The sequence below is a fragment of the Homo sapiens genome, chromosome 15, assembly GCF_000001405.40.
Source record: "Homo sapiens chromosome 15, GRCh38.p14 Primary Assembly".
NCBI classification, from domain to species: Eukaryota; Metazoa; Chordata; class Mammalia; order Primates; family Hominidae; genus Homo; species Homo sapiens.
This window is the reverse complement of record NC_000015.10, coordinates 25,404,019-25,417,112: the sequence shown is the minus strand read 5'-3', so window position 1 is coordinate 25,417,112 and position 13,094 is coordinate 25,404,019. Positions and strand designations below refer to the sequence as shown.

Genomic DNA, 13,094 nt, shown 5'->3' with positions numbered 1-13,094 from the left:
CTCTTTCACTAGCTTCATGGAGTCACTTACCTTAATCGTGTACAGTTAGTACTCAGCAGTGGACTCTCAAATGGCAGATTTCTGAAGCCATTTCTCTGCCTTCTCAGACAAGCACTTGTCTGGCACTTGTCATCAATTTTACCCACTTCAGCTTTCTCAGCTCTGATCTCTTGATTCTGAACTCAGTAAAACTGCTGTCTTCTCACTGGATTTCCCCTCCATTGACTGCAGGTTGGAAATTACCTCCAGGCAGACATCCAAGCAGTGGATGGCTCACCTCCTTTGTTTTTGTCCTTTCATGCATTATAGTCCTCTGCTGCCTGTTATCCAAGGTCTGAAAATTCTCGTTTGAGAAGGAGCAACTGTCAGATACTTTCGGATCTTTCTCTGAAATTAGCTTTCTGTTGTGCTTGTTGTGCTTACCTCTTTGTCTAATGCTAATACCATATGAGGTTTTTTTTTTTTTTTTTAGAATGTTTTAAGCTATACACTTCTAAGTGTATAGCTTGTTGCACTTTCACACACTGAGCACCCGTTTAGCTAGCATTCAGATCAAAAAACAGCAGCAGCTCCTGCGTAGCCCCTTGTGCTCTGTGTCACTACCCCTTTTCTTCCATGTGTAACCACTGTCCTGACTTCTCATAGCATAGATTAGATTTGCCTGTTTTCATCCTTTAACTAGAATCAAGCACATTTAGTTGTGTCTGACTTCTTTTAATGTATTTGTGAGATTTATTCACATTGTTGGTTGTAGTAATTGTTTATGATAGTCGCTGTATATTCCATTTTAAGAATGGAAGTGATATTCCATTTTAAGAATATGCCATAGTTTAATCTGCTGTTACGGACATTTAATCATTTTTGGTTTGGAACTGTTAAGAATATTGCTGCTGCTCTAAACATTTCAGTGATTGTCTTCTTGTGAATATGTTTACTTCTGTTTGGTATACTTAAGAGTGAAATTTTTAAGTCATAAGGTATGCATATATTTAGTGTATACTCAGTTTTTTAAAGGCATGCCGATTTTAATTATTCCATTTAAGTTAATATGTTTTAATATCTGGTAGAGAAAGGAACATTATTAGAAACAATTGTTTTGGTTATTCTTACATATTTAGTCTTTGAAAAAACGTTTCTTAAATTGGCATTTACTTATATTTGTGTTAATTTGGGAAGAAATGGTATCTTTGTTCATCTATGAGTCACATTTGGAACTAGCTCAAAGGCCATGGGTCCTGATTCCTTTTTTTTTTTTTTTTTTTTCTTGTAGAGGGGAGGTATGGTGTCAAGAAAACATAGTCACCATTATTACGAAAAGTAAAATATGGAAGAGATGATCCCTACCATCAATCAGCTTACAACTAGAGGCACTGACAAATGTATACAGATAGCTGTAATGTAAGGTATAACATAATAAATATAAGGAGAAATTAATAAATTATTTTATGGTATTAAGAATGTATAATAAGACATGAAGGAGATGGTGATTATGTATAAGAGTTTAGATAACCCTGTGAGATACAGTGTTTAGAATGAGGCCAGTTTTTAACATGGCATGATAGGTGGGTGGGGGATAGAGGTTAGTAATGGATAGAGGACCATTTCCGAGTGAAGTCTCCTCAGAAGCAAAAGCATTGAAGTCAGAAACACAAATATCCAGTACATTATAGCCAATAGTCAAATGATGGGACTAGATCTGGTAACTGGTGATGATGTCATATAGTGGGCAGTAGTGCTGGGATGGCTGGGGTCAGGGCCACATGGCAGGGGCCTCAAATAAAATGTGAAGGAGTTAGAAATTTATTCTGTTGGCATGAGAAAGTGTTAAAGCTTTTGAATATAGAATGATATGTGTAACTTTGAGTTTTTAGGAAGATAATTCTAGTGGCAAAGTTGAGGATAAAGGCAAAAGGGAAACCAGATGAAATAATGGGGCACTGTAGTAGGACAGTGTTGGTAAGTTTGAGGAAAAAAGGAGTAAGAGATATTTTTAAGGAAATTCATAGGGTTTGAGTATAAATTAGAAGGCAAGTACAAGGGAATAAGCGTGGTCTTTAGAATCAGACAAATTAGGGTTTGAATCTTAACCTTGCATTTACTAAAGGACTGAAAGCTAGTTCCCTAAGAGAAAAATTTTCTCTTTTGTAAGATGCTTATTCTATAAACATTTGCAAGCACTGGAAGTATAAAAGCAAATGATACACATGTTCTCTTGAAGTCTGGTCTAGTCTGTAAGAAGAGGCTGCACTGGCAGGTTTTGACCAAATTGTGTAGAATCTCATCTGACGTGATTGGGAGCTTTGGCTTTATTCTGGAAGCAACTAAAAGCAATCAAAAAAGACTGGGGAATAATGTGAGAATGTAGAAATGTAGGGGAATTTCTAAGGATGAATTGGTAGCAATTGGTAAACAATTTGATATACTGGGAAAGAGAGAGACTCTTTAGAATATGACTGAGAATCTTCCAATTTGAGCAGCTGGACTGATAGTGCTACCATCATTACCTCACAGGGTTTTTCTTAGTGTGTCTTGTAAATCTTGCTTGTCCCTCATAAAGAATGGTTTTCCTTTTCTTCAGACTAAGGACTTTTTATTACAGTACACAACTTAACACCCCCTGTATCTCTCCATCACAACACTTAACTGTGCATTGTTATTGCATAATTAATTGTGGTTTTTATTTGTGCCCATTTCCTTCACCACATGAGGGCAAGAAATTATGTCTAGTTTTTCTACCTCTGCATCTTCATCCACCTAGTAGGCACTCAAAATCTAGTAGACAGTTTTTGAATTAATGATTATGAAGAATTTGAAGGCTGAACAAGTATCAACCTACACAGTGGTTAGGGCAAATAAAAATGAGGGGGAGAAAGTAATGAATGGCACCAATTTTTTTAGTCCTTAACCAGGACAGTGAGATTAGGCAGAGTGAGTTCTTTGGGAAAATAATTGAGTTTGATATTAGATACGTTGAATGTAGATGTTAATGAGACATCCAAATGGATGTGTACCGTTGGTAATATGTAGTTGCAGGCATACCATGCCAGACATAAGGACTTAAAGATACAGAGTTAGGGGTTTGTAAGCATAGAGGTGCTATGGGAATGGATGACATTGCGCAGAAAATTGGTTTAGGTTAAGAAAAGTGGCTATTGACAGAAACTTGGAGAGAGGCCATGTATGAGGTAGGAAGATGAACTAGCAGAAGACCTTATTGCCTTTAGAGAGATGGAAGAAAATGAGTGGATACAACATTAGGGAAGCCAGAGGAGGTGAGGAGTCATTAGCAGTCTTAAAAGCTACAAAAATTAAGTAGGATTAAGGGGCCAAAGCACTGGGAATATACAGAAATGATGGAAACTTTACAAGAAAAATTTCAGTAGATAGAAAAATAGCAGCTGAGCTAGTGGTTTTCACGTCTTTTTGGCAGTAAAAGGAAAGAAGATAAAGAAATGGTACTCTGAGGAGCTAATGGAGTTGAGGGAATTATGTTGCAAGTATTATTTGAAAGCAGTATTTAAAACTTTTTAAGTCTTAACTGCAGAATGGACTGGAATAAGGAGAAACTAAAGCAGGAGGACTTAGGAAAATTGTTGTAGTAGTCCTTTAATTGTGAAATGTGTAAACGGACAAAACTTAGACAGTTTTAATAAGTAGCATTATCCATAAATATAAGACACCATAAACATGATGCAAAGGAGAACAGAAGTGTTGGGTGTTATAATAAAAAGTGATAGAAAAAAACAGTTTGTGAAATTAAGTTTTGAAACAGCTTTAGAAGGAGGTGAAGGAAAAATAGAAATGAATAAAATGAAAATTTTAGGGAGGTAGATATAGATCAACATAGGCATTTATTATTAGACTATACTTATTTATAAGATTATTAGACTGAGCCCTCTGTTGAAGAGATAAAGTAAGAGAACTATGTCTGGTATTAGGATTCTTATGGTTAAATTGGCAAGTGAGTGTGCCTAATATTTGTAGTGCTTACAGTTTTTGTTATTCTGTATTTTTATAGATTTGGTATATTTCCTCCATGATTATGTGTTCCTAACTCATAATTTGGAAGGCAGGGCTTCTTAAAATGAGATCTGTGTGTCATGTGAAGTATATGTTAAAATGCAAATTCATTTCTGCGTTCTTGGGTTGGTCTGAAAAAAATTAAAAAAAAAATTCATTTACCCCTACTTCATGCACTGAATGAAAATCTTTGCGAGTAGAGCCCAAGTAGTTGCATTTTTAGATTTCCCCAGGTAATTCTATTATAGACTGAAGTTTGAAAGTCAGTCTCTAAAACCTTAAAAGTTGGTTAATTTTATTTCAAAATGTTTTATATGCAGTGTATTCACTTTCTACCATCAACCTCTAGGACACTGGATAGGTTTCTTAACCTTTGAGATTTGCTTTCTTTATATGTAATGCAGTACATGAAAGGACTTTATTTTTGTTCCATTGAGGAATGTTCTGATTGTATACAAACAAGTTAAGAATTTACAGTGATAATTTAGGGGCTTGCTTTAAGCTTCAGGATTTTTTTTTAAGAGTTAAGTTTTGATATATATTAAGTGGTTGATTTAATAAATTATAATTATCGTCGTATATTGAAGTCCTGTTTTGTGCCAGGTAGGCATTATACTATAACTTTTTAACGCATTTTCTCTGCTACAATAACCTGACATTGGAGACTCAAGGGTCAGAGGGTCGGCCCAAGGCTGCTACTCTAGAAAGTGGTAGATGCCCAGATTTGTACCTAACATAGCCGATGCTTAGCATATAGAATTTAATTAAAAACAAAATTGCTATAGGTATTTGAAAGGATTAGAGGGATATAGTCAAATAGTTTTCATATGTGTTTAGCCCTTTTGGAGGGAGGATAGAGTAAATAAATAGAAGGCACTAAGCTTTATGGATGAATATGGGAAATATGGCTTTGCCTGCTGAAAGCACTCAGGCCACAGGGCCTGCCTACCTATGCTTTCCTCATCCCGGCAACAGCAGTAATTTGTTTCTTGATACGTTTTTGGATGTTCATAATTATAGAAAATAAATTTGCCTTTATGATGAAATTTAGTACCTTTTTTTTTGAAAGTTCATCCAGTTGTTTATGTAAAAAGAATTGAGTGAGGTGTTTTATATTTTAGGTTAAAAATCTGTAAGAGCCTGATTTTAGAATTCACCAGCTCCTCAGAAGTTTGGCGAAATATGGTATGTTTTTGTTTTATTTTTTGGAATTCGTATTGCATGTGTATCTTAATGTCATAATAATGACAGATGTGTTCAGCAAATTTGGGCCCCTGCCATTTTTAAAGCATTGTGTCAGGTGCTCACTAACTACACTTCCAAGACTGTATGAGGGACCCAGGTAGGGTGCTGAAAAAATTTACAAGAGATTAGTGTGCTATGAGAGGTAAAATAATATGCATAAAAAGATTGAGAGGGCAGGTTTGGATTTTGGGCTATGAGTATTAATAATAGCTTTCATTTGTTGTTGTTGTTGCTGCTGCTGCTGCTGCTGTTGTTTTTGAGACAGAGTCTTGCTCTGTTGCCCAGGCTGGAGTGCAGTGGCACCTTCTTGACTCACTGCAACGTCCATCTCCCAGGTTCAAGTGATTCTCATGCCTTGGCCTCCCAGGTAGCTGGGATTACAGGCGTGTGCCACCACACCTGGCTAAGTTTTGTATTTTTAGTAGAGACGGGGTTTCACCGTGTTGGCCAGGCTAGTCTCGAACTCCTGGCCTCAAGTGATCCACCCGCCTTGGCCTCCCAAAGTGCTGGGATTACAGGCGTTAGCCACCACGCCCAGCCATTTGTGAGCACATTATGTCAGGCACTGTTCTGAGATACTTAGATGTTAGCTTGTTTATCCATGACAGCTCTATGGAATAGGTACTATTATCCTAGTTCTACCTATAAGGAAACTGAGACTCGGAGAGGTTAAGTAACTTGCCCAAGATTTCTCAGCTAGTGAATGACCAAACAGAGACATAAGTCCAGCCTGGCCTTGGAGCCTTTTGAGCACCGGATCTCATAAAAGAGGGGACTGGAAGAGAGGACTTGACTCTAGTTTTCAAAATACATATAGCTCTTTAATTACATTGAGGTCAATTAGTCAATTAAAAGATATTTTAACTTTATTATTTTTGTGTTTACAAGATGGAAAGTTAGACTTGTTTGAATCTTCTAATTCCACATACCATTAGTCTCTTGAGAACCCAAGGGGAAGCTGTATCATGACCACATTGTTTATTTTAGGGAAGGTGGTGTTTCCCATATGACCTCAGCAATGTCTAAGTTCTTATTAGGCAATGTATAGTTAGGATAGGAGTATCTGGGAGATTGCGTTATTTCTTACAGATACTATAAATCCCATTTATTGGAATCCCCTGCAATTATTTTTATATATTCAGGCCAATCCTCACCTAATCTGGATTTTGAAGCCCTGCGTTCATAGCTGCATAGGTATGGGCTCAAACATTCATGTTTTAACCGTTGGTATTCGCAGATACCTTGCTGTTTTATATTGGGTTCTGAATCCACACTGGTAACCACCTTTTACGCTTGACTATTGTTGCTTTGAGGATGTTAATTATGAAAGGTTTCTTCCTCCTAATTTCCTCATCTTTCCGTAGTTGATGCCTCAGATTTGGCCTGGATAGGGGAATCGTGAGGGGAAAGAACTAGTTGCACAAAATGATCTTTTGATACTGGGATATTTCAGATGTATGGTATCTTTGCCAGAACTACAGTGTCAGTAAAGAGGCCTGCTAAATTTGAACTGTGACAATCAGAAAAGTTCAGCTAAGGCCATGTAAGGGGTTAAAAAGATATTTGGTTGAGGGAGGAGGATATGCTTTCATCTTTTGCCATACTTTTTCATGAAATTAAATCTTAGTAGATTTATGGCCAAGAAAGAGTAGAATATATTTTTATGCAGTACTTAAGGGGTTTTGACTGATGTTTTTTATTATTATTATACTTTAAGTTTTAGGGTACATGTGCACAATGTGCAGGTTAGTTACATATGTATACATGTGCCATGCTGGTGTGCTGCACCCATTAACTCGTCATTTAGCATTAGGTATATTTCCTAATGCTATCCCTCCCCTTCCCCCCACCCCACAACAGTCCCCAGAGTGTGATGTTCCCCTTCCTGTGTCCATGTGTTCTCATTGTTCAGTTCCCACCTGTGAGTGAGAACATGCGGTGACTGATGTTAAATGACTTTACGTACATACAGAATTAGTGGGACTAGACTTTGTGTTTATGTGTGTGTGTTTATGTGTATGTATATAACTATTCCATTAAGCAGTTGCCCTCCTTGGTGACTGATTGCTCTATCAGCTTAGGAATCTTTTGACTGAATTTGTCCGTATTTGAAAGATCTCAATCTGTGTTCTGAATCTTTACTCATTTACATATACTTAAATCTTGAAACCCAGTATAGCAAAACTAAGCCAAAACAAACAAAAAAATCCATCCCTTGATAGGAAGTCAGTATATCTGGGTTTTAGTCAGTCCTTCAACACTAGTTCCAAAATCTTGGGCAAGTCAGTTAATCACTCGGAGGCTGCTTAATTTTTTTTTTTTTTAATTCTTAGTATATTATCTGTCTTGATTAGGTAAAGCCAAAGTTGTTATAAGACTCAAGGTACTATTGACCAAAATGCTTCAGAAACTATAACATTACATAAAAGTACAAGGAATTATTACATTTTCTCAAATGAAGAGATCATTTAAGAAAAACAAAATGCTGGAAAATAGTCCTTAAAAACTTTTCTATAATAATTACTCTTCTGATGAATTTTACATTGACACCTAATTTGAAGCTTTGAATATTATTTTTTGAACAATGAATTGGGTTTATATATTAAAGTGTTCTAACCAAAGGTTTGTTTAATTTATTAGAGTTATTAAGCCTACGCTCAGATCAAGGTAGCAGCTAGACTGGTGTGACAACCTGTTTTTAATCAGTGACTCAAAGCTGTGATCACCCTGATGTCACCGAATGGCCACAGCTTGTAAAAGGTAATTTTGAATTATTTTACAGCCTTTAAAAGGCTGTCATTGTAAAGTGAAATACATACTGTAAAAATGAAGACAATGTATAGTTGGCAGGAATACTGCTAAGAATAGTGGGCCTGAGAGTTGACCTACTTCATTTAATCTCCTTAAAATATTTTAGTGTCTTTTTTTCTCATTAAAAATATCAGTAGCCACTATCAAAGACCTATCTGTATGTATAAACAGGAAAGTATTTCTCAAAAAAACTTCAAGGTTTTAAACATTTTACTATAAACATTATAGAAAACATTAAAAATTTCTTAATATGCATTTTAAAGTATGCCTTTTATGTGGTGAACGTTTTAACTAAACATTTCTCTAGAAGTTTTTATAACATTAATAAAACTAGTATACTTTTCTCTCCTAGAGAGTTACAGTGGAGGTAAAAGGAGTGGCTTGCAGGATGGAGAAGCTGCACCAGTGTTATTGGAAGTGAGCCACCATTTGAATTTGCTAGCTCATGCTGCAGTATTCAGATTAGTGGGTGTTTTGTGATCATATTTTCTGCGATTCAAATCAAGACCTAAAATTGATTCTCATTCTGAGATTTACATTTTATTATCCAATGTTATTTGGTTATTGTTTCAGTTTTAAAATTTCTGACTTGTTATTCTGACACACTTTAGGATAACCTAAGTCAATAGTTTAATACAAAAATTTCCCTTTGGTTATATGTTTTGAATTAGGTTATATGTTCTGCATTTACAAGCACATACAGGATTCTTACTTCCAGCAACTTGGCAGTAAAAGAATAAGTAGACTCTTTAGGAGCCAAAGTCAAGCTTGGGAACTGTTGCTAGGTGGTATATATTTCATAGTTTATGTTTGTTTCCAAGACAAGGTCTCACTCCATCGCCCAGGCTGGAGTGCAGTGGCACGATCACAGTTCACTGCAACTTTGACCTTCTGGGCTCAAGTGACCCTCCCACCTCAGCCTCCCAAGTTGCTGGGACTAAAGGCACCCACCACCACACCCGGCTAAGAGACGAGGTTTCATCATGTTGCCCAGGTTGACCTTGAACTCCTGAGCTCAAGTGGTCCTTATGTCTTGACCTCCCAAAGTGCTGAGATTACAGACATGAACTACCACACCTGGCATATGTCATAGTTTTGAGAGTTTGAATTCTAACCTCGGGACTTTGGTAACTTATTTATAATATTCTAGAAATATACTGTTATTAGGATGAGTAGAAATTCATTCAGACAGAAACTATTATAAATTACTGCAAGAAAAATGTCTGCTAGTTCTGCATATATTCATTTTTCTCTTGATTAAAAAACAATTTCCAATTTGAGTAGAACAACTTTGCTATGTTTAATAGACCCAGGACAGATTTATTTTAAGGTAATAATCTTTCAATCCTTCTTCTTCTATACTGGATTGGTTTAAATTACTTAGCTTGTCTTATCAATGGTTTTTAATAGCCTACTTTAATATATGTAAAAAGTAGTAATTAATATGTTACAGTTTGGTGGCAAACATTTTGATGCCAAAGTTCACATATTCTCTTGCTTAGGGAACAGAAATTGGGAAGATAGATGTAGTTATCATTTGATAATGTATTTAAACTCTATCCCATTTCAGGATCTCAAAACTTTGTAACAGTTACATATTGTACTTCTAAGACTTAGATTTGTTTTTCTTCTTGTGTCTTACCTTTTTGCAGTAATATTTTTATTTTCCTATCATCATGTCCTCATTTTTTCCCTCTCTTCTCTTTCCCTGTTAATTTTGAAAGTTTTGCTGCCTACGTGTTTGAAAACTTCTAATCTGCCTCTCTTCCCTCAGTGCCAGCAGGTTTATTTTTTGTTTTGCAAGCCAGCTCTGCCTCCTTACAGTATGACATCTGATGCTGGAGGGTCGCACTTTCAAAAATGAGTCAGCTGGTACATGGGGTTATCATCAATTTTTAGCTCTTCTGTCTGGGAGATACAAGTTTGGAAGCAATCTTGGGGTACTTACCCACAAGGCTGGTGGAGACCAGGTGTGTCACATAGGTGATTTGCTTGCTCCCTGGGGGAGAGGGTGGAGTGAAATTTTTGCATTTGTGTCACAGCCAAGTCACTGCCACCTCCAGCATGCCCCAGTTTTTAGTTGTTATGTAATTTTGTGCAAAATTGAAAATTTAAATACATTGCAAAGAAGATCTAAAATAAATATTTGAGCTGCTGGAGTCTTTTTTTTTTTTTTTTTTCCTTTTCCATTCTTGTCCTTGGAATCTGAATGAATTGCAGTGAGGGTAATTTTGAGAGTCTGATAAAGAAGTGAGGGGTTGTTTTTTGTTTTTGTTTTTGTTTTTAGCTAAGAAATTTAGAAAACAGGTTTGTGTGTGTGCGTGTGTGTGTGTGTGTGTGTGTGTGTGACTGATTTTAAGATTCTTGTTAGAGTTGCTTAAAGTTGGAAGCCTAAAGTCAGTGAGAAGTTCACAAATCAGGACTTTGTAATGCCAATTTGAAAATTTAGCTTTTGACCTCAAAAAACATTTTTTATCTAGTTTGGGAATTTCTAAGTGTTAGAAATCAATATTATATTGACTCATTCATTGTTGCTGATGCTGTTTATAAAAGTGAATAGATAGGGAAATACTGATTCATATCTCGTGAAATGAAAATGAAAGGCTTTTTAGTGACTTAGAATTTTAAATATTTCTACATGAGAGAGCAGTAGTATATTTAGAAATAACAAAGTAACTGGCAACTGTTTAAAACTGAAGTTAATTCACAGCTATCCAGTGCAAAACTTCACCTCAGGTGATACACTTTTGACAGGTAATACATACAGTAAGTGTATTTTTAGGGAAACAGTTTCATTGTTGAACCAAGATAATCATCATTAGAATGTTGTATCTGATTTAAGTGTCTTTAAACTTACCAAGGTATTAGATTTTAGTTTGAATTGTCTGGAGTAGCGGTAGCGGTTGGCACATTTGTTCTTAAAGGGCCAGAAAATAAATATTTTAGGCTTTATGGGCCATGTGGTTTCTGCCACAAGTCCTCAGCTCTGTTCTTTTAGTGTGAAAGCAGCCATAGATGATACCTAAATGAATGAGTATGGCTGCATCCCAATAAAACTTCATTTACAAAACTACATGGCTGGCCTAAGCTTTAGTCTGTCTGCCTAGGGAGTAGTTTACTGAGCCACTAATCTAAAGTTTAATACTGTGAGTGAATACCAGTGAGTACCTTTGTTAATGTGGATAACCAATACTTGGCTATAGGAAGTTTTTTAGTTGTGTGTTTTATTACACGTATTTGACTTTGTGAATAATTATGGCTTATAATGGCTTGTCTGTTGGTATCTATGTATAGCGTTTACAGTTTCCTTTAAAAAACATGCATTGAGTTTTTTAATAGTCCAACCCTTAAAATAAATGTGTTGTATGGCCACCTGATCTGACCACTTTCTTTCATGTTGACATCTTTAATTTTAAAACTGTTTTATTTAGTGCTTAAATCTTGTTTACAAAATTGTCTTCCTAAGTAATATGTCTACCTTTTTTTTTGGAATATGGAATATTTTGCTAACTGTTTCTCAATTGCATTTTACAGATCAGGAGAACCTCAGTCTGACGACATTGAAGCTAGCCGAATGTAAGTGTAACTTGGTTGAGACTGTGGTTCTTATTTTGAGTTGCCCTAGACTGCTTTAAATTACGTCACATTATTTGGAAATAATTTCTGGTTAAAAGAAAGGAATCATTTAGCAGTAAATGGGAGATAGGAACATACCTACTTTTTTTCCTATCAGATAACTCTAAACCTCGGTAACAGTTTACTAGGTTTCTACTACTAGATAGATAAATGCACACGCCTAAATTCTTAGTCTTTTTGCTTCCCTGGTAGCAGTTGTAGGGAAATAGGGAGGTTGAGGAAAGAGTTGAGTTTAACAGTCTCAACGCCTACCATATTTAAGGCATCAAGTACTATGTTATAGATACAGAGATGCGTAATAATTAGTTTTCACCCTACAGAAATTTATATTATACTCAAGAGTGAAAGATGCAGAAGCAAATAATTTCAGTCACTGAGGTAGAATGGTATCCAAAATACAATAGTAACATGAAGGAGTACTGGAGTACCCAGGTATGCAATAGGAATCTAGTGTAGATGGCAGGGAAGTAAGAGTGGCCAGGAAATGCTAAGTTCAGTCTTGAAATGTGACTGGGAATCAGGCAGCTAGAAGCATGAGCGGCTTATTCCAGGCAGAAGTATGAGCCAAAGTTAGAAGCAGCATAGGGAGTAGGGGACAATAGGCAGTTGAGGACTTTTAGATCATAAACTAGCTGAGAGGTAGGAAAATGAAGAAGATAAGATGTGATAGAAGGTATTAGGGAGTCAGCAAAGAATTTGCTCAGTAGGTAGATAGTAAGTTTGTCAAACGTGTATTTTTAATAACCTTGCAAGAGAGAAAGGATTGAAGAGAAACGTGTGGTGGTAAGGTAGTTCAGTCAGTGAGAGCCTTGACAATGACAGTGGTATAATAGGAATTCAAAATAAATTTTTCTGGATTTAAGACAAATATTTAGGACATGAAGTAAGTAAGACTTTAGTGATTTATTGTGAAGACTAAAGATGTTTCAGATAATAGAGGTAGTAATTATCAAAGCAAAGTTTTTCGAGGTATTAAGGGTTGGAATGAAAAATACAGGTGTATCTCTCATACAGGTAATATAAAAAAAGAAAAATGCAGATATAGTGATTGACCTTGAATAAGAGGAAAGATGCCCATCTAATGAAATTAGAACAAGGAAGTAAAGATGGATGTGTGATATTAATTGTAATTGTGGGTGAGGGTGGAAAAATCAAGATTTTTTTACTGAAAATATTGGAACCTTATTTAAATGCCGGTATATATTGTGAATCTGCAAGAAACGACTATAAAATGTATTTCTCAAATTTATGTGACCCAACCATGTGACTTGTCTTTTAAGCTTTAAAAAATTGTAGTAAAATACACATAATGTAAAATTTTCCATTTCACCATTTTTAAGTATTTGGCTCAATGGTATTAAGTATATTAATATTGTTGCACA

At 35.8% G+C, this 13,094-nt stretch overlaps 1 protein-coding gene and 1 long non-coding RNA gene across 50 annotated transcripts in view; one reads left to right on the top strand and one right to left on the bottom strand.

The window, feature by feature from the left end:
* The window catches only part of SNHG14 (small nucleolar RNA host gene 14), a 595,855-nt gene that overhangs the window by 2,350 nt on the left and 580,411 nt on the right, over positions 1–13,094 (bottom strand). The gene's annotated exons all lie outside the window — the stretch shown is intronic.
* Positions 1–13,094, top strand: part of UBE3A (ubiquitin protein ligase E3A) — a 105,329-nt gene that overhangs the window by 21,944 nt on the left and 70,291 nt on the right. For 8 of the 49 annotated variants that reach the window (NM_001354550.2, NM_001354545.2, NM_130839.5 and 5 more), the window contains 3 exons: positions 5,142–5,205; positions 7,906–8,025; positions 11,611–11,652. The exons of 1 other annotated variant lie outside the window; for it this stretch is intronic. In NM_001354550.2, coding sequence (NP_001341479.1) covers positions 8,006–8,025; positions 11,611–11,652 — 62 coding nt within the window. In that variant the 5' untranslated portion in view covers positions 5,142–5,205; positions 7,906–8,005. Of the gene's footprint in view, positions 1–1,270; positions 1,404–5,141; positions 5,206–7,905; positions 10,047–11,610; positions 11,653–13,094 lie in introns of all 49 variants that reach the window. 40 more of the 49 variants (XM_047433008.1, XM_011521995.4, XM_047433009.1 and 37 more) reach the window with 22 other exon arrangements.